We start from the raw sequence: 26,085 nt of genomic DNA on the forward strand, positions 1-26,085 counted from the left end.
AGAATCTAAAACTCTGGTTATTCATCAAATGGACACAAAATATTAAAAGAAATAGACCTTTTCCATAGTCTATGTTAATAAACCCAGGTCATCAATCTTTGTTCGCATATATTATGTAGTCCCCTGGTGGACAGTGTGTTATTTCTGTTTCTGGTTTGGTAACAGACAATAATCAATCTCTCTCCCTTGCCCCCACCTTTTTCCTTTCCAGTCTCTGATCCTTTTCCTCCTTTTCTTTCCTCTCTCTTTCTCTTCCTCTCTCCTTAAAACATGCTTATCTGTAAGTATTCATGAAGACAAAGTACCCTTTGTATTACCTTTGTAAATAATCTAAATGAGCATTTTCTGCAGTGATGGGGATTGCTGACCTCAAATATAATTGCTTTTATTTCGACATCTTAAAGCTAAAAGATTTCTTTTTTATCATCATAATGCAATTTAAATTTCTCTCTTACCTTCTCGCCTTTTCTCTTTTTTCTATATGTCTTTCTTTTTCCCTTTCTTGTCCTCCCTCCCTTCCTTCCTTTCTTCCTTCCTTTCCCCCTCACTACTCTTTCTTTAAAAAGCATGACATTTGACCTTTGGTTGGTACTAAAGCTTATCTTCAGGGAGAATGTGACTTTGAAAATTAGTTATCATACATAGAATACATACAGCTTTTTGCCTACATAAAATGATGGTTCTCTTCAGGAACTCTTGATTCCAGTCTGCTAATATTGCAAATCTAACTAAAATGGACATTGTCTTTGTTGTACGTCGGTGAGTGACAAGGGTTCTGCACTTAGAGCTTTTGCTAGAAAACCTGGAGGGCAGCCAGCCAAGAGCTCTGTAATAGACTTGAAGAAGTTGGAATCTGTAAAAAATGTTTCAGGAAGAAAATCTTTCAGATTAGACAGCTGCATAGTTAACAATCAGTAGCTCCAGAGAACTAATAATTAGTTCTAGTCAATTAAACCAACTTTTAGCCTTATGACAGAGAAGATAGCTTGCATAGCTAAAATGCACAGTATACTCTTAATTTATGCTACCCAATTCCTTACCAAAATATTTTTGATTTTTGTTTGTTTTGTTTCATTGTTAACATTTTGTTGTAGTTCCTGTTGTGGGTTGTTTGGTAGGTTACTATGTACCATGTTATAGTATTTTTCTTTTTCATGTAGTATTCTGTTATAAGCCATTTCCATGTTCTTAATTTTAAATGACTGCATATAATTTTACAGTAATAATTATGTACCAGGCTAATTATTTTACATATATTAATTATTTTAGTCTTTATAACAGTTTTTTGAGGCAGGTACTATTATTATCCTCATTTAAAAATGAAAAACAAAAATGAGATACAGGGAAGGTAAGTGGACTGTTGAAGATTCCAGTGCCAATACATGGTAGAGGACTGAATTTGTGATGGTTTACTTACTTCCTTCTTATCCACCTATTCTTAGATATTATGTAGTTTCTTATGGTATTTATTGTAAATATCATAAGAACCAATGTCATGATTAGTAAAGTGTTTCCCAATAGCAAAGACATTCTTGCAAGGCAGAAATTGAGAATTGAATTATTGTGTTTTTATCAATAAATTATAGTTAGACTCATAAACCTGCATATTTTGGAATCAACCTAAATGCCCATTAACGATAGACTGGATAAAGAAAAATCTGGTACATATATACCATGGAATACTATGCAGCCATAATAAACAACATGATCATGTCCTTTGCAGGGACATTGATGGAGCTGGAGGCCATTATCCTTAGCAAACTAACACAGGAACAGAAAACCAAATATAGCATGTTCTCATAAGTGGGAGCTAAATTATGAGAACACATGGACCCATAGAGGGGAACAACACACACTGGGGCCTATCAGAGGGAGGAGGTTGGGATGTTGGGATGAGGGAGAGGATCAGGAATAATAACCAATGAGTACTACGCTTAATACCTGGGTGATGAAATAATCTGTACAACAAACCCCCATGACACAAGTTTACCTATGTAACAAACCTGGACATGTACCCCTGAACTTAAACAAAAAACAAAAAACAAAAAAAGATTTCCTCCTCTTTAAGAGTATTTCCTTAGGATAGGTTCCTAGAAATAAAATTACTGAATCAAAGTTTTAAAAAAATTTAAGGCTGTTGATACACAGTCCCTTAATAGCTTTCTTAATTGTTGGTTACATTTCTGCAATAATTTATGTGTGCACAGTTTGGTAAATCATTGTCATCTCTTGATTTTATGTTTTTAAATCTTTGCTAATGTGACAGCTAAACATGGATTTCTTTTACCTTTGTTGTAATTTGCTTCTTTGTATTTGAACTTCCTCTTGTGTGAATTATTCATGCCTTTTTGCCTGTTTTTCTCTTAAAGTTCTAGTCTTGCTTTTGTATCTTTGTATAAGTCCTTTAACCAAGATACTAATCTTTATTATATTTGCTGGTAATGTTTTTTTTTTTTTAGCGATTTGTCTTTTTTTGGACTATTCCTTTTTACCTATGAAGGATGTTTTTGTTTATGTTTTTTAAACACAATTTTACTTCTTTTGTGATTGCTGCTATTTACAAAGGCCTTTCATTTATGAGATTAATGCTAAATTATCTTTTTCTCTACTTGCACTACAGATGTTTTCCTTTTGTGTTAAATTTTTAACGAATCTGGAATTTATTTTTTATGGCATCAGTTATGTATCAGAATTACAAGTTAGTAGAAAAATGTTTCAAGTTACATTCTTCTCTTTCAATGAATTGATTAAAACTTGGAAGAAAGGCCTTGGATAATCTATAAACTATGCAATCAGCTTCTTAAATATTCTTTTCTCTTTGAAAGGCAGAAATTGAGAATTGAATTATTGTGTTTTTATCAATAAATTATAGTTAGGCTCATAAACCTGCATATTTTGTGCTTTAAAATTATAATATTTTGTCTTTTGCTTTCATAAAGAAATCTTACAAAGGGAAACTAGAATCTAGCCTTCCTTGTTCTTTGAGGTTCTATGTGCCTCACTGATGATAGTTTATTATCTCTGGACTTCTGCCTGTTATTTAAAACTGAGAACAAGACAGGCGTGGTGGCTCACGTCTGTAATACCAGCACCTTGGGAGGCCGAGGTGGGTGGCTCACGAGGTCAGGAGTTAAAGACCAGCCTGGCCAAGATGGTGAAACTCCGTCTCTACTAAAAATACAAAAATTAGCCAGGCGTGGTGGTGGGCACCTGTAATCCCAGCTACTTGGGAGGCTGAGGCAGAGAATTGCTTGAGCCCAGGAGGTGGAGGTTGCAATGAGCTGAGACTGCGCCACTGCACTCCAGCCTGGTGACAGAGTGAGATTCCATCTCAAAAAAAAAAAAAAATCAATATGTATTAGGAACAAATATTAAAATCTAAAAGTGGGATGGATATATATATATGCATGTCACATATAACAATATATAATATATATTGCTAATAATATGTAATTTAATATTTCAAGAAAAGCCTGACCATATAAAAGTGTTAAAATATTGGACTATAATACTGAGACTCCTAAATAATATGTAACTACTATTTCCAAGATGATATAAATAGGAGTCTTTTATCTTCTGGAATAATTCTTCTTTTCGTCATTTTACTACTAATTATTTGATAACCCTTATTTGTGTTTTAGCTGCATATTAAAATGAGTGGCAAATTAATATAGATATAATGATTTGGCAGTGTTGAATAAGGCTTTTTCTTTTCTTCACCCAAAGTGATTGTATTTAAAATGCATGTTAATCAAAATTCAGTGACTCATCTTTGAGGTTTGTTTATTACCTAGATTCATTGGTGTCAAAACTGTTTGCTTAAGATTTGATCCACACCCAATTTGTACAGTGTCTTTTGAAATACAGGAATTTGGAAATTTTATTAGATTAGAAGAAACACTTCTGTTTTATAGCCTACTTTCCTTCTACTTTAGTTATTTTTACTCCATGAGAATTTTTCATTAAAAAATAATTGCAGTCCTTGACACATCAAAGACAACATAATTACTGAATGAATCTCCATAATTATGTCTCTTTTGTAACTTACTTTTGCTTATTTATTTTTATTGTTCAAAAGAGCACACTACTTAGAAGGGAGGCAGAACCTCTAAATCAGAAGTAAACAAGAATATAAGAAGAAAAGAAGTGCTATAATAATGTAGGTATTCTACAGACTACCTAGTTGCAGAAAGCAATGGATTCTTAGTTCTTGAGGAGCTAATGGAAGAGATCTAAAGGAGGTAGAAATTCTCAAACATCTGGGCATTTGTTAGAACTTCCTTTAAACAAGGGTAGTACTTTGGGAGACCAAGGTGGGTGGATCACTTGAGGTCAGGAGTTTGAGACCAGCCTGACCAACATAGTGAAACCCCGTCTCTATTAAAAATACAAAATTACCCGGATGTGGTGGCACATGCCTGTAATCCAGCTACTTGGGAGACTGAGGCAGGAGAATCACTTAAACCCATGAGGTGGAGGTTGCAGTGAGCTGAGATCGTGTCATTGCACTCCAGCCTGAGCAACAAGAGCAAAACTCCATCTTAGAAAAAAAAAAAAGGCACTAACTCTATTAAATTATTTATTTTTTCTTTTTGTTGTGTGTGTGACTGTGTTATTTCAAAGATTGTCTTCAAGTTCAGAAATTTCTTCTGCTTGATCTTGTCTACTGTTGAAGCTCAATTGTATTTTTTAATTTCATTCATTGAATTCCTCAGTTTTAGGATTTCTAATGGGTTCTTTTAAACATCTATCTCTTTATTGAATTTCTTATTCAGATTGTGAATTGTTTTCCTGATGTCTTTGCATTATTTATCTGTGTTCTCTTGTATCTGAGTTCCTTTAACATCATTATTTTGAATTCCTTTTCAGGAATTTCATAGATTTTTTTTTCTTTGGGTTCTGTTGCTGGAGAATTATTGTGTTTCTTTGGAGGTATCATGTTTTCTTGCTTTTTTGTGTTTCTTGTGTCCTTCTGTTGATACCTGTGCATCTGATGTAACATTTATTTCTTCCAATTTCATGGATTGGCCTTCACTGAGAAAGATTTTTTTCTATAATCATATCCATAGTGTTTGTTGGGTAGGGTGCTTTGGTTTTGATTCTGGGTAAGCACAGTAGTGTAGTCTTCATATGATTTCTTTAGCTGTAATCAGTGTCAATGGTGTGAGTTCCTTAGAGGCTTAGGCTGTGGTTGTTAGTGGAGGCTGTGGTGAGGCTTTACTGGGGACAGGAATGCCAGGTGGGCTGGTCCTTAGGCACCCATGGTGGCAGTCTGGGCATGCCAGTCCTCAAGCCCTTGGGCACCCATGTAGGTGGCAGTGGTGGCAGGTCCAGGTGGGCCAGTCCTTGGGCCTCCAGGTGATGTGCTTGGGTGCTGGTGGTGGCAGGGTGGGCTAGGCGGGCAGGTCCTTTTGCCCAGTGGTGGCAGGGTGGGTTAGGCGGGCAGGTCCTTTTGCCCCTGGGCAGTGTGTGTGGCATCAGTGGTGGTGGTAGCTATGGCAGCTTAACCCTTGGGCCCCTGAGTGGTACATGTAGGTGCCAGCAATGGAGGGACTGTCCTAAGGCCCAGGGATGGTGTACAGTTGGACTAGTCCCCAGGCTTCCTGAAGGTGCATGGCAGACCTGCCACTGGAGGGGGTGGGGTTGCTGTCAATAGCAGTGGCCCTGGTGGGCAAGTAGCTCTCAGGCTCTGGAGAATGCATGCTTCAACTTCCTTTGTCCCAGGGGCAGGCTCCCTGGTGTCCTGCACCAGCTGTTCTCTTGAGTATCGGATACTGTGTGGGCTAGAGTTCTAGGGACCCACATCACTGTGTCTAGCTGGTGTTGAAGCCTGCAGATTTGGGGTAAATGTGAGGGGATGTCAGCAGTGCTCCAGAGATGTGGAGATGCAGGAGCTGTTGGGTCCTAGAGCAGGACGTAGTCTGGTGGGGGCTGAGCTCTTAAAATGGTGCTGTACCATAGCTGCTTCTGTCTGGGTATGTGTGTGTGACCCAGTGTGAACTCCTCTCTGAAACAATGCCATCATGTGGACTCCAGGAAGCTCCTTATACTAGTCTCAGGGCCCATGAGGGCCAATAAGGGTCTGCAATGGGAATGTGGACTGCTTGGGAATCTCTCACATACCCTTTCCTCATAGTGGAAAGCTCCTTCTGGCTCTGAACTGATCCCGGCCAGGCCAGCTGTTTCACATCCCTTTCCTACCATGTCTCAGAGGTTTCTTGTCACTTCTGTGCTGAATTCCAGTGTTCTGTCTTAGAAGCTTTATTCAAAATGGGGTTATCTACTCACTGTTTTGGTCCTTCTTTGTGTAGGAGGCAAGTGCCTGGAACTTCTAGTCAGCCTCTTGAACCCTTACCTCAATTATTATTATCATTTTTTAAAGAACTGTAGAGTCTCATAAGGCGTAGAAGTGACACAGGACCTAGTACTCTACATAACTATGGATTAGAGAGAGGAATTTCTTCAAGAAGTAGAAATGATAGAGAAGGCTGTAGAGAGAGGAAATGCTGTAACTAGCTACATATATATTCTGGACTTAAAAAACTGTTTCAGATTTCAAAAATCTCAGGGAAAAGATAGATTTGATCAAATATCTGGAACAGGAACCCTGATTGGAACAGGAATCTGTATTGTGGCATTATTTATTTCTCTGGTGCCCATAGAAGACATTATTTAAGTGACCTCAATAATCTCTCATTTTTCCTGAAAACATCTCTGGAATCCTTCTTAAGATAATACTCTAGGTAGTTACTACTGATGCAGGATGTTTTGCTCCTCAGCTCAGCTAGGTTTGGTTTCTTGTCTCATGACCAGGAAGAAATAGGCAAGTGGACATTGAAGAATGAGTGGAGTAGAATGTATTAAGCACAAAGGAAACCCCTCAGCCGAAAGAGGAGTTCTGAAAGCAGGTTGCCGGTTGCCCCCCTTCACAGTTGAGTACCAATACTTTGTTATAAAAGCTGATGGGGCTGGGTTCCCTATTTGTATAAGGTGCAAATTCCTGGTGGCTCCACCCCACCCTTCCGGTGCGCATGCGGGCCCTTAGTCTGACCCACTTCACATTGATTTATTTCCCTTACTGTGCTTGTGTTAAGGGACAGAATTTTTTACTGCAGGCATATTTAGGCAAGCCTCCTGTGCTAATGAACTTGGTGGGTTGGAGGTTCTCCTGGGACCCTGCCCTATCTGCCTAGGAGAGTTCTCTGCCTCCTGTCTCTGTCACTACCATTTGATTGTCTTTGCAGGAAGTGGAGCCTGACACCCTAGTGTAGGAGAAAAATAGCTCAAAATGATACAGCTTTGAATGGCTTGCCTCTCTGCTATAGATCTATTCATCAACACTCTTGGATCCAATAGTTAAATAGATACAAAGCCTTCTAATTCTTTTATTATTGAGCCCATATTTTTATTTTATCCATGAGGAAAGCTTGAGAAATGTTGTATAATGTTCAGTTAAAATCTAGATGACAGTGCTTATAGGAGTAACTAGGTCTGTTAGTTTAGTAAACCACCCAAAAAGGTAATCTGTGTAATGTGTAGCATTGGTTCTCCATCAGGGGCAATTTTGTCCCCCTAGGGGATTTAGCAATGTCGGGGGGTGGGAGTGGGGTTGTATGCTATTGACATTCAGTGGACAGAGCATAGGGATATTGCAAAGTATCTTACAATACATAGGATGGCCCCTCACAACAAAGAATTATCCAGTCTAAAATGTCAGTCATACCGCAGTTTAGAAATTCTGATCTAGATCACTGGTTCTTGACTGGGAACTTGTTAGAAATGCAAACTATTGCATTCCGCTGTGGAACTGATGGGGCAGAAACTCTAGAGGAGAGTCTCAGCATTTTATCTTTTAACCAACCCATCAGGTGATTCTGATGTACCTTAAAGTTTGAAGACCAGTTGTGGGACCATTTTGGCATATAAAAACGTTCAGGAAATATTTATTGAGCATCAAGCTTGGACCACGTGCTTCTCTAAGTGCTCAAAAAACAGTCTTTTCATAGTTTGCTTTTGCCATCTTACCTATGATCTTGTTATTTCTTGTAGTTCTCAAATTCTTCTGTTGTCTAACATGTTGTTTGATATGTTTGTTAAATTGTATTAAATCGAATTGGTAGCTGGTCTTTTTCATCCCACCATCCCATGAGGCTTTTTTTTTTTTTTAAGTCAGTTACTTGCTTGAAGATGTAGTCGTCATGGTTATCAATGTTTTAGGCCTCATAAAGATGGTAGGGATTGGATGATAGAGGCAATCTTTGATTCTTAATAGACTAGCAATAACATGGTCATATTTCTAAGTTCCAAAATTCCCATTATATCAATTTTACCAAGCATTTCCTACTTGCTAATCAGAATTAGGAACATATTTCTTAACTGAGTACATTGCATACAAGAAGAGATTTTTAAAATTTGTCGAATTGAATCAAAGACAACTCCTAGGTAACTTGGAAGAATGATAGTGATAATAATAGAAAAAGGAAATTTAAGAGAAAGATGGGCAATATGCTGAGTTATTTTGTACTTAGCGAATATCAGATGGTGATACACACTAAAGTAAATATATTCATCCATCAATGGAATCAAAAGCACAGGTAGAAGGGACACTTTTTTTTTTTTGAGATGGAGTCTTGCTCTGTCACTCAGGCTGGAGTGCAATTTCAGCTCACTGCAACCTCTGCCTCCCAGGTTCAAGCGATTCTCCTGCCTTAGCCTCCCGAGTAGCTGGGATTACAGGCACATGCCCCTACGCCCAGCTAATTTTTGTGGTTTTTTTTAGTAGAGACGGGGTTTCACCATGTTGGCCAGGATGGTCTCGATCTCTTGACCTCGTGGTCCGCCCGTCTTGGCCTCCCAAAGTGCTGGGATTACAGGCGTGAGCCACTGTGCCCGGCCAGAAATGACACTTCTTGACTGACGAGGGAAGAATAAAAGGAAAGTGACATACCAATACAAATAAATTTTGTTGTAGGAAGCAGTTAGAGGAACTTTTAAATAATGGTTTCAGTTGTTTCTGGAATACTTTGGCACGTCAGTATCTGCTACATTGCCAAACTTCCTTAGCTTATATGAGAATTCTGTGAGGAATTCCTTGTGAAAACTCGACTGAGGGTAAAAAATTACAGATAACTCAGAAAGCTATTCGGTTATGAGGCAGAAAAGAACTGCTACACCATCACAACCCCTATCAACAGTGACAGCGAAGAACATTAAATAAGAGAAAAACTTTGAAGACATATAACTTTAGGCAGTAAGTCTCATTATCCACTTAGCCTGGAAGGAGAGATAGCCGTGGGTCATACAATTCCAAGGTTTGGGTTACCCCTCTGGGCAAAAACCTTATCAGGAAGCATTTTTTGAATGCAAATGCAAGGTACATGTAGTGAGTCCTGGAGGAAGGAATTTTCAAATGCCAGCCAAGGTAGAAATACAGCCTTATTTTCTATTTGCATTTGTTTATTGCTAATAATTGTCTTCTTTTTTCCTTTTTAAAATAGGAGTTGAAGTGAAAACAATTTCTCTGTTGGAAATTGATATGTTGATAGTGTGTGGTTACTGCTGAACTAGAGGAATTCTGAACACTTCTTGAGGATTCTGGACTTGAAGAAGAGTAGGTCCATGATGTTGATCCTGGATGTAGTTGTTGAAGGTGATTTGGGGTCAGCTTCCTTTGGGGAGAGTAGTGATTATATTGTAGTTGTAGTGGAATAGATGGATTACAGGGTCTTGGGTATATTGAATCATCTCCCTTTGTGGGGAGTGATTATATTGTTCTTGTAGCTAGATAGTTGGATTGTGACATCTTTGGATATACAGGAAATAGTGGATGTTCATATATGGGGCAAGGCCAGGGGTTGGCATGTTGTGGGTACCTTTCTGGGATAGTGCTCAGTGCATGGCCATTTTCTTTCTCTAGGACTTTTCCCTGAAACCCAGGGTGGAGTTCAGTTGGCCGTTAGCACCATATAGCTACAACTCAGTTGTCACAACTGAAGAACCCAAGAGTTCAGAACAGATTAAAGCTGCACTACTCAGACTCTCATGTGGAAATCTGAAATTGATAGTAGTGTTACAGAGAGTAGGTTCCCAAACTACACTGTAGAGTTTCCTATAGCTGATTTGGCTTCTGTTTTAACAAAAGTAGTTGTTGATCTCTTTGTGCATTTCCATCGAGACTGCCCAGTGTTCTATCAATAAAGTTCCCTGTTTGTGCTGATTAGAGTTGGTTTTCTGTTTCTTCCTACCAAGAGTCTTAACTTAAGCTGGTCATATGAGGTGGTATGAGCCTCAAAAAGGGCTGAATACTTGAATTATGACAGTAGACTGTAGATACAGAAGTGGCAGCAAGGAGCAAGATACATGTTGATCCATTCTCCTAAAAGTAGAAGAAAAAATGCCTTTTATTGGAGAGAGTGGGGAGGGATATGGCTCATTTTTTAAAAGACAGTTTTCTCGTACTATGAGAAGAAAGAAGTAGTGTGTTAAACTCAGGCTGAGGATGTTAGCTAGTGTGCTCCTAAGAGATTTATGATTTCTGGAGGAATTGAGTAAGGATTATATAGCAAATGTTCTGTAAATATTTGATGAATGTGGAAACAAATAAATTGAGGAGAATGATCCCTTCTCATTATAACCTCAGTAAAGAATGCTGTGTGCCACAATTGGCCTGGGCTTCCCAAATTATAGCTTACTTGCATAATCATTTCCATGGTAAAATTGCCAAAGCTGCCATTCTCTCTGGGTTCATGTTCTTTTCCCTGCCACTCATTTTTGGTCAATACAGTACTATTTTAGTATTGAAGTTTAGTTAGAGGAATTTGAGTAACTTTTACTTTTAGGGAGAAGAGTTTCAAGGCCTCTATCTCTTCCCTCTCAGAAGCTCCAGGAGACAGGCAATTTTTTTTCATGATTTCACCAACAAATAGCAAGCCCTCTCTCTAAGAAATGTCAATGATGCTGGAAAAAAAATAAAGTTCCATTTTCATGTGATATAACATGTGATATTAATTAGGGTAATACTAGCCATGAAAAGAATAGACTTCAAAATATAAAATGGCTTAAAACCAATAATTTATTTCCTGCTCATTACAGGGAAGGTAAGCAGATTACTAGGTGGCCCTTCTTGTGGGTCATTTAGGGACTCAGATAGGGAAGCCTACCATAATCAGAATGTGGTTTCCAAGGTTACCCTAGGTACTGTAGGGCATCCGAGCCAGACATAAGAGGAATGAGCATGGGGGGTTTTGTCTAGAGTGGAACATAGCACTTCTCTTAACTTTCAGTTGACTAGAATTCAGTCTCATAGCCACTTAGTCGCAAGGGAGGCTTGGAAATGTAGTCCACTTTGTGCCCAGGAAAATGGAATATATACTGTATTTGGATGGTCAACTAACAATTTTTATCTTTGTGGCTACTCACTATTATTCAGACCTCACTTTCCAGAAATTCTGATAAATACAAGTTTACTGTATTTTGAAAAAAAGAAAAAGTTGGTAAACTTGCCTTTCTTCACAGTTTCTGTAAATTCCATGACTTAAAAATAAAGCTCATATTGAGGGAAGAAAATTAATAGATTTGAATTAGCTAAATTATATACATATGTCTTTTGCCACATGTACTGAGAATCGCTAAACACATTTTTCATATTCAGGCCTTGTTATCAAGCTGTAAAATTCTAAGCTAACAAAAACCATCCTTCATAAAACAATTCTAGGACCAGGAAGGATAAGTCAAACTGGGATTTGCAGATTGTGAGTAAGTACTTAAGTGAATTGGACTAGAGAAAATACCAGGAAGCTAGCAGCTGGGGTAATGTCAGAGGTAGAATCCACATGTGCAGCTAAAAGTAGGAACCTATGTCGGCACCCAAGGTGAGAGACAGTTGGAGGCTGGATGCCTTATTTATAGGGACTTTGAATACACTTCCTGCTGGGCAGCAGTGAAGCCCATGGTGTGGACAGCTGACAGAGAAGAAAAGCAGGTAGATAGGCTCACCTAGATGAAGGCAGGTTTGAAGAGATGGAGGCCCTACACAGCAGTCCTGAGAAGAATTTTTTTTACTAATTCAGGATTAGCAAATTGTTTTCCTGGTGGTTTTTGGTTTTGAATTACTATGTTGCAAAGTTGGTAATCTTAGTGAGAATACAAGAAAACATAAGGTTATTCACATTCAGGTTTATTTTGTTTTGTATCCACTGTGATGATTAAAATTGGGATTAAATATTCAAGTGTACAAATACAATTAAAATTGTAACCTGTGCCCAATAAGAGTGGTAAAAGTGTAACTCAGTCAAAAGAAAAGAAGCTCTAAGCTTTGGTGCTGTGTATCACCTATGAATTAAAAGATATTTTTCAGATGATTGGCTGATTGGCGACTCTGGAACTGGGAACAAGTTAACGCTGAGAACACCAAGTACAGTGCGTCATGTAAGGGGAGGGAGACGCTTAGGATTACATGGTTAGCTAAGACCATATGCATTGAGGTTTCAAGTCTACAAGCATGATACTTTTCTTTCAGAGTTTGTTGATACTGTGTAAGGGTGTCAATCATTGGTACATTCATACCAGATTGCATGGTTTTACAAGATGAGGAATTATACAGCAAATGAGGTAAACGTATACATTGTGGATTCCTTTATAATACTGTTCTATCAGGAAAGTAATTGGGCAAAGAAGAGTGGTTAGCAATTGAGGTTCTAGAGTCAGAACTGGGCTCAGATCCTGATGTTTTCATTTCCTAGCTTTGTGACCTTGGACAAGTTATTTCACCTTTGTAAGCCTTTGTCATCTTTAAAATAGAGATAATAACTATATTCAAAGCCTCTGAAAATCAAAAGTTTTTTTTTTAACTCATTTGGCAGCAAAACTTGATGTGGAATAATGACAATTTATTTGTTGTCTTTATCTCATTTAATGTGCATCTTTATACATTTTGTGGCAGAAATATTGATATATTTGATTAATGTATGCTACTCCAGAATCTACTCAGGGAAAATGCTAGATAGCTTTCATTTATACCTCCAGATTCACTGTCCACCTTTCTCCATCTAGCTATGTGTCCAGGAGTCTGATAGTATAGATTGTAAGTATGCAGTCTGTGTTTACAGGCTCTCTGCTATCTGCTTTCCCATTAGCTCTGGCCGATGGAAGTCACTGGCGAGATATTGGAGTGAGGCAGCAGAGTGAGAGAGGTATTTAATTCACCTAGTTCTCTTCATGAGTGGTCACCGTAGTGTGTCTCTAGACTGAAGGTCTCAGCATGTGAAAGGTACCACCCCTCACAAGGCCTCTTAGTCTTCAGCTTTCAGTAACAGCTCCCTTCCTTTACCCATTATGACCCAGAGGTGGTAATAGTCACTACAGTGCTAGCTTCAGGTTATCAAGCTATCCTTTGTGGTTTCTCTACACCTTAGCAAATAGTGCCTTTATTAAATTTTCCTCAATTTATCCTAAGTTGACCATGTACCTACTTACTTCTCAGACCCTAAAAGATGCATAGTACTGTTTAATTTATGAAATATTTACTAAATTACTGTCTGAATACATACACATGCAGAGGCACAAACATACACACCTGAAACACATCTTGCTTCAAGGGTTTTGGATGAAGGATTGTAGATCTGTATTCTAATTATATTAGCATAGGAATTTTACTGTATTTTATAAATTATTACTGTTCAAAAAATTATATTAATGTTCAGTTAAACACAGAGCATGTAAATGGCCTACAGGTAACACCACCAACATCTCAGTTCTAAAAATATGAAAAATGTCATTGAGCTACCAATTTAAATAAATCTCCTAAAGTGAGTATAGTATATGGAGCGCAGTTTCACAATTATAAACTTGCCTTTGTTACTTAAGAGGAAAAAAGCAGCAGCAAGATTAGACCTTAATTCCACTTGATCACTTGTTCATCAACAAATGGTCTTCTCACAAATTCCAAGACGCCTTAAGAAGAGATGCCCAGCCGGTAGCATTAACATAACTTTATCTAAATTATTTCGCCTTCTCTCAGTGCTTCAACAGGAATAAATTCAGCTTCTGAATTTTTGCCAGTGTATGACAATGTATTTTCTAGTTAGCTGTTGGGTGGTGGAAAGAATGTAGAATTTGGAGTCAAGGAAGCTAGTTTGGGTCTCAACATTGATACCGTTCTTGAGTCACTGTGAGCTTGATTTCTGTAGTCCCTGTCTCTAAAATTGGGGTAAAACCACATACCTGTCAGGATCATGAGGATTAAACAGAGTAAATATAAATTATCTAGTATGGAGCTCAGCTCATAGTAAGAGCTTGAGTGTTTCTCAAACTTGAATCAGTTTGTGAACATAGCCACTCAATAGAGGAAGGTTTGTTCCTGGGGCTGATCCATGACTGCAGCTGTGTGACTGCTGTTGTGGCATTTGGACTGTTCATGGATGGACCAGAACCTCCAGATTCTACATGTGATAACCGTGGCTGAGTAAAGGCTGTTGTCAGTATACATCACGCAACAACAGAATGAGTGTGGGGTAGTATTTGTGTAATTTGCCAGAGAAGTGAGGAACTGAACAGAATGAGTTTTTTCTTGTTTGTAACCACACATTTAGTTTATGCTTCCATTAATTCATAAGTATTATATTTAGCACTGTAATATTTAATATTGATGTTACCAAATGTGGGTCAACATTTAAAGTCTATAAAAACATGCATACAGTCTTGATATTTTTAAAACTCACTATAGTAAGCTTCACTTTTTTCTAATGAAATTCACTAACCAGTTTAAGAAAATGGTAAGGTTAGTGTGAAGAATTCCATGCCATAATACTATAGAATTGCTAGAGATGGGCCACATAGTTGATTTTGAGCTTCTAGTGGCAAAAAAAAAAAAAAAAAAAAAAAAAGGCCAATTATAAGATCCCTAGAGTCTTAGTTGCTTTTTGGTACCAAGATCTGAGAGGGCTTCATAAAGTGGCATACAAGATTGAGAATTTACACAAGCAGTTTTGAATAGAATAACAGAGACTTTAGTAACAAATTTAAACCCAAGCATAGCAAGCAACCTTGTTGAACCAAATAGTTCTGTGAGAGTTGGCAAATCTTACCGGGATATAGCTTCAATAGTGATGATGGAATGATAAGAAATAATTGCCTTTTTGTTAAATTTTTTATTTGTTAAAATTAGTAATCAACTCTCTATGGACTGGGAGAGCTCAGGAACAATATAGCTTTAAAAAGTTTTTCTTCGGCAGTCAAAATAAAATATTACATTTAAAATTAATTGAATCTGTGAATATGATTATTAAGATAAAATGTTATTTCCAAATTAAATTAAAAGTTTTCTTTATTTTTTACTATCATTCTTCTCCTCAAATTAATATTCCATCTGAGAAGCCTGAAAAGAGAAGATTAAAAGGAGTCATTAATAAAAGGAAGTGCATTTAATGGGAATATGATTATCATGTAGTTCAAAGAAAATTTCATTGTGCCTCATACTAATTGCTATTTTGTGCACCTACTTGCCTTGCTTATCTTAAGATGGTTTTGGCTTTAGGGGAAGTATAAAAAATTAAGGTATACATATATTATTTAAAGTAGACCAAAGTTAAGGCATAAATAAATAGTTAATAATTGAAGCATGTGAGTCAGTTAACTTTAAAACTGTACTTATTAAAGTCTTTGTTACTTTTAAGAAGACTATCCTACGCTTTGAGAAATTGCTGAGTCATGGTCATGATCACATCTGTGTTGTAGTTGTAGCCCCCCTGTATGGGAACTATGATTCCTGCCTTCAGGCTAAAAGGCATTAAAAGAAAACAAAAACAAAAACAGAGAGACCATGTAGTGCCATCCCCTTCTTTCAAGTGTGAACTCCAGCTCAATTTCCCCCTGCTCATGTAAATTATTTAGAGCTTTCAAATAGTTGTTTTAAAATTTTTCTTCAGAGTTTGTAGTTGTTATGTATTGAACACAATGGAAGTGGGCATAATCTTTTCTCTGCCTAAACTCTTTAAAGTTTTTGAAATGAAGACATTTAATTTTTTTAACATTTAACCTGATATAATTTTAACTGTTTCTACCTGAGAAGTTATCCAGCAATGTTCTTTTTTTTTTTTTTTTAAGGTTTTTTTTTTCCCATAAGTTATAGGGGTACAGGTGGTATTTGGTTACATGAGTAAGTTCTTTAGTGGTGATTTGTGAGATTTTGGTGCACCCGTCACCCGAGCAGCATATACTGCACCATATTTGTAGTCTTCTATCCCTCGCTCCCATCCCACTCTTTCCCCCAAGTACCCAGAGTCCATTGCATCATTCTTATGCTTTTGTGTCCTCATAGCTTAGCTCCCACATATCAGTGAGAACATATGATGTTTGGTTTTCCATTCCTGAGTTACTTCACTTAGAAAAATAGTCTCCAGTCTCATTCAGGTCACTGCAAATGCTGTTAATTCATTCCTTTTTATGGCTGCCTAGTGTTCCATTATATATATATATATTCCATCATATACATATATGTTTATATATATTCCATCATATATATGTGTGTGTACATATATTCCATCATATATATATATTCCATCATATATCTATTCCATCATATATATCTATTCCATCATATATATCTATTCCATCATATATATATTCCATCATATATATATATTCCATCATATATGTTCCATCATATATATATTTTCCATCATATATATTCCATCATATATATATTCCATCATATATATATTTTCCATCATATATATATTCCATCATATATGTATATTCCATCATATATATATGTTCTATCATATATGTTCCATCATATATATATGTTCCATCATATATATCTATGCCATCATATATACACACACACACACACACACACACACACACACACACACACACACCACAGTTTCTTTAGCTACTTGTTGATTGATGGGCATTTGATTTGGTTCCACGGTTTTGCAATTGCGAATTGTGCTGCTATAAACATACATGTTTAAGTATCTTTTTCGAATAATGACTTATTTTCCTCTGGGTAGGTACCCCCCCAGTAATGGGATTGCTGGATCAAATGGTAGTTCTGCTTTTACTTCTCTAAGGGATCTCCACAGTGTTTTCCATAGCGGCTGTACTAGTTTATTTTCCCACCAGCAGTGTAGAAGTGTTCCCTGTTCACTGCATCCATGCCAGCATCTACTGTTTTGTGATTTTTTTGATTATGTCCATTCTTGCAGGAGTGAGGTGCTATCGCATTGTGGTTTTGATTTGCATTTCCCTGATCATTAGTGATGTTGAGCATTTTTTCATATGTTTGTTGGCCATTTGTATATCTTCTTTTGAGAATTGTCTATTCATGTCCTTAGCCCACTTTTTGATGGGATTGTTTGTTTTTTTCTTACTGATTTGAGTTCATTGGATATTAGACTGGATATCAGTCCTTTGTCAGATGTATAGACTGTAAAGATTTTCTCCCACCCTGAGTTGTCTGTTTACTCTGCTGACTGTTCCTTTTGCTGTGCAAAAGCTCTTTAGTTTAATTAAGTCCCAGCTATTTATCTTTTTTTTTATTGCATTTGCTTTTGGGTTCTTGGTCATGAAATCGTAAGCCAATGTCTAGACAGGTTTTTCCAGTGTTCTTTTCTAGAATGTTAATAGTTTCAGGTCTTAGGTTTAAGTCCTCAATTCATCTTGAGTTGATTTTTGTATAAGGTGAGAGATGAGGATCCAGTTTCATTCTCCTACAGGTGGCTAGCCAATTATTCCACCACCATTTGTTGAAAAGGGTGTCCTTTCCCCACTTTATGTTTTTGTTTGCTTTCTTGAAGATCACTTGGCTGTAAGTATTTGGGTTTATTTCTGGGCTCTCTATTCTGTTTCATTGGTCTATGTGCCTGCATTTGTACCAGTACCACACTGTTTGGTGACTATGGCCTTATAGTATAGTTTGAAATCAGGTTGTGTGATGCCTTCAGATTTGTTCTTTTTGCTTAGTCTTGCTTTGGCTATGCAGGCTCTTTTTTGGTTTCATAAGAATTTTAGAATTGTTTTTTTTAATTCTGTGAAGAATGATGGTGGTATTTTGATGGGGATTGCACTAAATTTGTAGATTGCTTTTGGCAGTATGGTCATTTTCACAATATTGATTTCACCCATCCATGAGCATGGGATGTGTTTCCATTTGTTTGTGTCGTCTATGATTTCTTTCAGCAGTGTTTTGTAGGTTTCCTTGTAGAGGTCTTTCGACTCCTTGGTTAGGTATATTCCTAAGTATTTTATTTTTTTGTTTGCAGCTATTGTAAAAGGGGTTGAGTTCTTGACTTGATTATCTGCATGGTCACTGTTGGTGTATAGAAGAGCTACTGATTTGTGTACATTAATCTCGTATCTGGAAAATTTGCTGAATTCTTTTATCAGTTCTAAGAGCTTTCTGGAGGAGTCCTTAGGGTTTTCAAGGTAAACAATCATATTGTCATAAAAAATGACAGTTTTATTTCCTATTTACCAATTTGGATGCCTTTTATTCTTTCTCTTGTCTGACTGCTCTGGCTAGGACTTCCAGTACTATGTTGAAGAGGAGTGGTGAGAGTGGGCATCCTTGTGTTGTTCCAGTTCTGAGAGGGAATGCTTTCAATTTTTCCCCATTCGGTATTTTGTTGGCTGTGGGTTTGTCATAGATGGCTTTTATTGCATTAAGGTATGTCCCTTGTATGCCGATTTCACTGAGAGTTTCAATCATAAAGCAATGTTGGATTTTGTTGAATGCTTTTTCTGCATCTATTGAAATGATCATGTGATTTTTGTTTTTATTTCTGTTTATGTGGTGTGTCACATTTATTGACTTGCATATGTTAAACCATTCCTGCATCCCTGGTATGAAACCCACTTGATCATGGTGGATTACCTTTTTGATATGTTGTTAGATTCGGTTAGCAAGTATTTTGTTAAGGATTTTAGCATCTAAGTTCATCAAGGATATTGGTCTGTAGTTTTCTTTTTTTGGTTATGTCCTTTCCTGGTTTTGGTATTAGGGTGATGCTGGCTTAGTAGAATGAATTAGGGAGGTTTCCTTCTTTCTATATCTTGTGGAATAGTTTCAAAAGGATTGGTACCAATTCTTTTTTGAATGTCTGGTAGAATTCTGCTGTGAATCCGTCTGGTCCTGAACTTTTTTTTGTTGGTAATTTTTAAATTACCATTTCAATCTCACTGCTTGTTATTGGTCTGTTCAGGGTATCTAATTCCTCCTGACTTAAGCTAGGAGGGTTGTATTTTTCCAGGAACTTATCTGTGTCCTCTAGGTTTTCTAGTTTATGTGTGTAAAGGTGTTCATAGTAGCCTTGAATGATCTTTCATATTTCAGTGGTGTCAGCTGTAATATCTCCTGTTTCATTTCTTAGTGAGGTTATTTGGATTTTCTCTCTTCTTTTCTTGGTTAATCTTGCCTTTTATGGCCTATCATATGGTCTATCTTGGAGAAAGTTCCACGCGCTGTTGAATAGAATGTGTATTCTGCGGTTGTTGGATGAAAATGTTCCCTATATATCTGTTAAGTCCATTTGTTCCAAGATATAGTTTAAATCCATTGTTTCTTTTTTGACTTTCTGTCTTGATGACCTGTCTAGTGCTGTCAGTGGAATATTGAAGTCCCCCAATATTATTGTGTTGCTATCTCATTTCTTAGGTCTATTAGTAATTGTCTTATAAATTTGGGAGCCCCAGTGTTAGGTGCATATATGTTTAGAATTGTGATATTTTCCTGTTGGACAAGGCCTTTTACTGTTATATAATGTCCCTCTTTGTCTCTTTTAACTACTGTTGCTTTAAAGTTTGTTTTGTCTGATATAAGAATAGCTACCCCTGCTCACTTTTGGTGTCCATTTTCATGAAATGCCTTTTTCCATTCCTTTAAGTTTATGTCAGTTCTTATGTGCTATGTGAGTCTCCTGAAGGAAGCAGATAGTTGGTTGGTGAGTTCTTATCCATTCTGCAGTTCTGTATCTCTTAAGTGGAGCATTTAGGCCATTTACATTCAATGTTAGTATTGAAATGTGAGGTACCATTGCATTCATCATGATCTTTGTTGCCTGTGTACTTTGGTTTTTTGTTTTTTTGTGTGTTTGCTTTTTAACTTGTATTTTTGTTTTATAGGTCCTGTGTGATTTATGCTTTAAAGAGGCTCTGTTTTCACATGTTTCCAGGATTTGTTTCAAGATTTAGAGCAACTTTTAGCAGTTCTTGTAGTGGTGGCTTGGTAATGGCAAATTCTCTCAGCATTTGTTTGTCTGAAAAGACTGTGTCTTTTCTTCATATATGATGGTTAGTTTCCCTGGATACAAAATTCTTGGCTGATAATTGTTTTGTTTGAGGAGGCTGAAGATAAGTCCCCAATTGCTTTTAGCCTGTAGGGTTTCTGCTGGGAAATCTGCTGTTAATCTGATAGGTGTTTCTTTATAGGTTACCTGGTCCTTCTGTCTCATGGCTCTTAAGATTCTTTCCTTCACCTTAACATTGGATAACCTGATGACGAAGTGCCTAGGCAAAGATCTTTTTGTGATGAATTTCCTGGGTGTTCTTTGTGCTTCATGTGTTTGGATGTCTAGGTCTCTAGCAAGGCCAGAGAAGTTTTCCTTGATTATTCCCCCAAATATGTTTTCCGAGCTTTTAGAATTCTCCTCTTCCTCAGGAACACTGATTATTTTTAGGTTTGATTGTTTAACATAATCCCAGACTTCTTGGAGGCTTTGTTCATATTTTATTATTCTTTTTTCTTTGTCTTTGTTAGCTTGGGTTAATTTGAAGACCTAGTCTTCGAGCTCTGAATTTCTTTCTTCTACTTGTTCAATTATATTGCTGAGACCTTCCAGAGCATTTCTTATTGTTAAAAGTGTGTCCAAAGTTTCCTGAATTTTTTTTTTTCTTTAAGCTATCTATTTCCTTGAATATTTCTCCCTTCACTTCTTGTATCATATTTTGGATTTTCTTACATTGGGCTTCGCCTTTCTTTGGTCCCTCCCCAATTAGCTTAATAACTAACCTCCTGAATTATTTTTCGAGTAAAGCAGGGATTTCTTCTTGGATCCATTGCTGATGAACTAGTGTGATTTTTTGGGTTTGTTGAAGAGCCTTGTTTTGTCATATTACCAGGGTTGGTTTTCTGGTGCCTTCTCATTTGGGTAGGCTCTGTCAGAGGGAAGGTCTAGGGCCGAAGGCTGTTGTTCAGATTCTTTTTTCCCACAGGGTGTTCCCTTGATGTAGTACTCTCCCCCTTTTCCTGTGGATGTGGCTTCATGTGAGCCAAACTGCAGTGATTGCTCTCTCTTCTGGGTCTGGCCACCCAGAGAGTCTGCCTGGCTCTGGGCTGGTATTGGCACTTGTCTGCACAGAGTCCTGTGATACCAACCATCTGTGGGTCTCTCAGCCATGGTTACCAGTGCCTGTTCCGGTGGAGGTGGCGGGGTGGGGGGTGCAATGGACTCTGTGAGGCTTCTTAGCATTGATGGTTTAATATTCTATTTTTGTGCTGGTTGGCTTCCTGCCAGGAGGTGGCACTTTCCAGAGAGCATCAGCTGTGGTATTATGGGGAGGAACCAGTGGTGGGTGGGGCCTAGAACAACCAAGTTTATATACCCTTTGTCTTCCACTACCAGGGTGGGTAGGAAAGGACCATCAGCTGGGAGTGGAACTAGGTGTGTCTGAGCTCAGACTGTCCTTGGGCGGGTCTTGCTGCGGCTGCTGTTGGGGGGTGGAGGTGAGATTCCCAGGTCAGGGGAGTTGTTTACCTAGGAGGATTATGGCTGTCTCTGCTGAGTCATGCAGGTTGTCAGGGAAGTTGGGGGAAAGGGGGCAGTCACAGGCCTCACCCAACTCCCATGCAAATGAAAGGGCTGGTCTCACTCCCCCAGTGCACCTCCCAACACCCTCCAGAGCATTTCCAGGCTGAGAGCAGTAAGGGCTTGAAAACCTGCCCCAGGCTGTATGCCTCCTAGCTTTGAAAGATAAGAGCTTGGTTCTTCCCCTGCCTGTGGAGTCTGCACACTGAATTTGCACCCTCCTTCCAGTTCTGGCCAGGAGGCTTCTCATCTCGTTCAAATGGTTACAAAGTTCAGCTAGAGATTTCCTTCTCCCTGTGTAGTTTTACCCTCTGCTCTTCTCCCATTGGATCCCTGGGGTGCCAGGCAGGAATGGCCTGCTAGGGTACCCAGCGAGCTCCCAGGGCCTTTCTGCTGCATCCTCTACCCCTGTATTTTGCTTGGCTCTCCAGATTGACTCAGCTCCAGGTAAAGTTGGAAACTTCTCCTGCAAACAGACCTTCGGCTTCTCCAGTGGGGCTGTGTGTTCAGGAGAGGAGGGTCTCCCTCTCCCACTTCCGCAGGTGGGGCACTCGCAGTTTTGGGATTGTCTCCTGGTTCCTGCAGGAGCAGTCTGCTTTTTTCAGAGGGTCTGTGGGTCCTCTCAGGATGGCTGGTTTGTTTTGCAGTCGATCTGATGCTAAAATTCACAGTGCGAGGTGCCGCCCACTGCTCTGTCCAGAGCTGCAATCTAGTCCTGCCTCCTGTCTACCATGATTGACCTTAAAAACTATCCAGCAGTGTTCTGATAACAATTTGAATTCATTTACATGCTGTCAACATTATTGCTTTAGGATATATTTTGTTTAGCTGCCAAGCCACAACAGTAACTTCTTTATTCTTTGCATCCTTTGCTGAGAATAAAACCTGTTTTGTTATAAATTTACTTATCTTGGGGTATGAATGGGCTTTGGAATGAGAGAGTCTTGAGTCTAATCCCACTCTGCCATGTAAACTTAAAATTGTTCCCAGCTTAAGTTTTCTCATTTGTAAAACAGGGTAACAAGCCTTACATTATTGTGGTATTTTGAAATCAAGCATGTTGGGGGGCTGACACAAGTGCTTTGCAAACAATAAATGCCCTGTGAAGGATAGGTATTACCCCCTGCAGAAAAATGAAACTGGATCCCTATCTCTCATTATATACAAAAACCAACTCAAGACAGATTAAAGACTTAAATGTAAGACCTGAAATGATAAAAATACTAGAAGAAAACCTAGGGAAAACTCCTGTGGACATTGCTGTAGGCAAGGAACTCATGACTAAGACCTCAAAGGCAGAAGCAACAAAAACAAAAATAGACAAATGAGCTTTAAGTAAACTAAAAAGGTTTTCCACAGCAAAAGAAGTGATCACCATAATGAACAGACAACCACAGAATGAGAGAAAGTATTTGCAAACTACGCATCCCACAGGAGACTAATATCCAGAATTTATAAGGAAGTCAACTTAACAATAACAAAAACTAACCCTATTAAAAGGTGGGCAAAGGACATGAATAGACATTTTTCAAAAGCAGACATACAAATGGACAACAAGCATACAAAAAATATTCAACTCACTAATCATAAGAGAAATGCAAATTAAAACCACAATGAGATATCATCTTATACCAGTCAGAATGGCTATTGTTAAAAGTAAAACAAACAAAACAAAACAGATGTTGGTGAGGATGCAGAGAAAGGGGAATGCTTATACACTATTGGTAGGAATGTAAATGAGTGCAACCTCTATGGAAATCAGTATGGGGATTTCTTAAAGAACTAAAATTAGAACCATCATTCAATCTAGCAATCCCACTATGGTGTATCTACTCAAAGGAAAATAAATCATTATATCAAAAAGATACCTGCATTTTTATACTTATCACAGCACAATATTCACAATAGCAAAGATATAGAATCAACCTAAGTGTCCATTAACATATGATTTAATAAAGAAAAGGTAGTATCTATACACAATGGAATACTATTCAGCTATAAAAAAGAATGAAATAATCTCTTTTGTAGCGACATGGATAGAACTAGAGGCCATTGTCTTAAGCTAAACAACTCAGACACAGAAAGACAAATACCTTGTGTCCTTACTTATAAGTGAGACCTAAATAATGTGTATATATGGACGTAGAATTTAGAATGATATGCAATGGACACTAGGAAGTGTGAGGGGATGGGAGGAGGGTGGATGACTGGGAGTTACTTAATGGGTACATTATTTGGGTGATGGATACCCTAAAAACCCTGATTTCACCACTATGCATGCAGTCCATGTATATAATAAAATTGCACTTATACCTCATACATTTATACAAATTTTTAAAAAGGCAAATATAAGCCCATTTTCTTTTAAAAAAAGTAAAATAAAAGGTGGATATTATTGTTAGATGCGATTATTGTTAGATGCTACTTTCTGACTTATTCCCAGTTCTTAGATTGGGGGAACTCGATTTTTGACTCTACAGTTCACAGTTCAACCTTTGGATTTCTGAAAAAAAAAAAAAAAAAAAAAAAAAAAAAGAATTGAGAAGCATTTTGTAGAACAGATTGGAGTTTATCTTTAAATAATCAAATTAAGCCTTTGTAATGGGAACAAGACTAAATTCAGCTCTCTAAATTAGCCACAGGAAAGAAACAAGAAGGACAAGTGATATTATTTTAGGTGCTCAGATATTTGTATAGGCTTTGCTTGCTCACATAAGGAATTGAGGAGAGTATATCAGCACTGAGCTGGTGCTGTAGTCCCAGCTACTGGGGAGACTGAGGTAGGAAGATCACTGGAGTCCAGAAGTTCTGGGCTGTAGTGTGCTATCCCTTTTGGGTGTCCACACTGTTTGGCATCAATATACTGACCTCCCAGGAGTGGGGGACTACTAGTTTGCCTAATGAGGGGTGAAGCAGCCCAGGTCTGAAATAGAAGAGGTCAAAACTCCCATGCTGATCTGTATATCAGCAATGTATACAGTCTTGAGGAATCACACAGGACAGAAAGTACCTGAATCTTAATCTCAGATATGTCTAAAAGGGATTGTTAATTTTCTGCTGTGTGTCAGGCCCTATCTAGTCATGGTGTGAAAGACAAAGATGAAGAAGGCAAGGCTCTTATGCAATTGATGGATAGCTCCAGGAAAGACATCCTGGTGAGCAGGACTGTGTGAAATAGGGAAGCAGCTCCTCTAAATTCTTTTTTTTTTTTTTTTTTTGAGACGGAGTCTCACCCTGTTGCCCAGGCTGGAGTGCAGTGGTGCAATCTCGGCTCACTGCAACCTCTGCCTCCCGGGTTCAAATGATTCTCCTGCCTCAGCCTCCCAAGTAGCTGGGATTACAGACGCCCGCCACCATGCCCAGCCAATTTTTGTATTTTTAGTAGAGACAGGGTTTTACTATGTTGGCCAGGCTGGTCTCGACCTTGTGATCTGCCTGCCTCAGCCTCCCAAAGTGCTGGGAGTACAGGCGTGAGCCACCGCGCCTGGCCTCTACATTCTTCATATTGGGACTGTATTAGTTAGGGTTCTCCAGAGAAACAGAGCTAACAGGATGTATATATAGAAAGAGGCTTATTGATGGCTCACATGATTGTGGAAGCTTGACAAATCCAAAATCTTCAGGGTGGGCCAGCAGGCTGGAGACCTGAGAAAGAGTTGCAGTTTTAGTCCGAAGGTGATCCGTTGGCAGAATTCCCTCTGCCTCAGGGGCGGTGAGTCATTTTCTGTTAAGACCTTTAATTGATTGGATGAGGCTCACCCATATTATGGAGGGTAAGCTGTTTTACTCCAAGTCAACTGATTTAATATCAATCACATCTAAAAAACACTTTCACAGAAACATACTATTTGATCAAATATCTGAGTACAGTGGTCTAGGCAAGTTGACACATAAAACTATCACAGGAACTTGTTTTTGGAATCTGCCTTGTACCCCATAGCAGATTCAATCTTATATAGTATCCCAGCCCTAGGCCTTAAGCCTCCATCACTTAGTTCCATCCTTTGTTTATGACTGTGCTTCAAGCCTACTTTGATTGATGGCACTGCTAAGACCGTGTGCCTTTCTGATCATACCATTAGCTTCAGTCTTGTCAACATTTTTATCTGTTGCAGACTGCTGCCTGGGCCTGGCCTCTTCCTATAACCCTAAGCTCCACTTTGATCCCAGCCTACTTCAGTCTTCTGCACAGTTGATTTGGCCTACAGACTGCTGAACTGAGGCAGGATACTCATAGCTCTTAGGGGGCCATTAGTGTCCTGACAATGTCATATCTTCCCCT

At 38.3% G+C, this 26,085-nt stretch overlaps 1 protein-coding gene and 1 pseudogene across 3 annotated transcripts in view, besides 1 other annotated feature; both read left to right on the forward strand.

Annotated features, from left to right (window-relative positions):
* The window catches only part of MACROD2 (mono-ADP ribosylhydrolase 2), a 2,057,682-nt gene that overhangs the window by 202,989 nt on the left and 1,828,608 nt on the right, over positions 1-26,085 (forward strand). The window lies entirely within an intron of this gene.
* Positions 21,703-22,431: an enhancer, noted in NCBI's record as "H3K27ac hESC enhancer chr20:14200853-14201581 (GRCh37/hg19 assembly coordinates)". NCBI's record gives its function as "activates a minimal SCP1, AML or CMV promoter by ChIP-STARR-seq in primed H9 embryonic stem cells {active_cell/tissue: H9 hESC(primed)}" and the evidence as "EXISTENCE:reporter gene assay evidence [ECO:0000049][PMID:30033119]".
* Positions 24,537-24,821, forward strand: RN7SL864P (RNA, 7SL, cytoplasmic 864, pseudogene; annotated as a pseudogene).

Source organism: Homo sapiens, chromosome 20 (assembly GCF_000001405.40).
Source record: "Homo sapiens chromosome 20, GRCh38.p14 Primary Assembly".
NCBI classification, from domain to species: domain Eukaryota; kingdom Metazoa; phylum Chordata; class Mammalia; order Primates; family Hominidae; genus Homo; species Homo sapiens.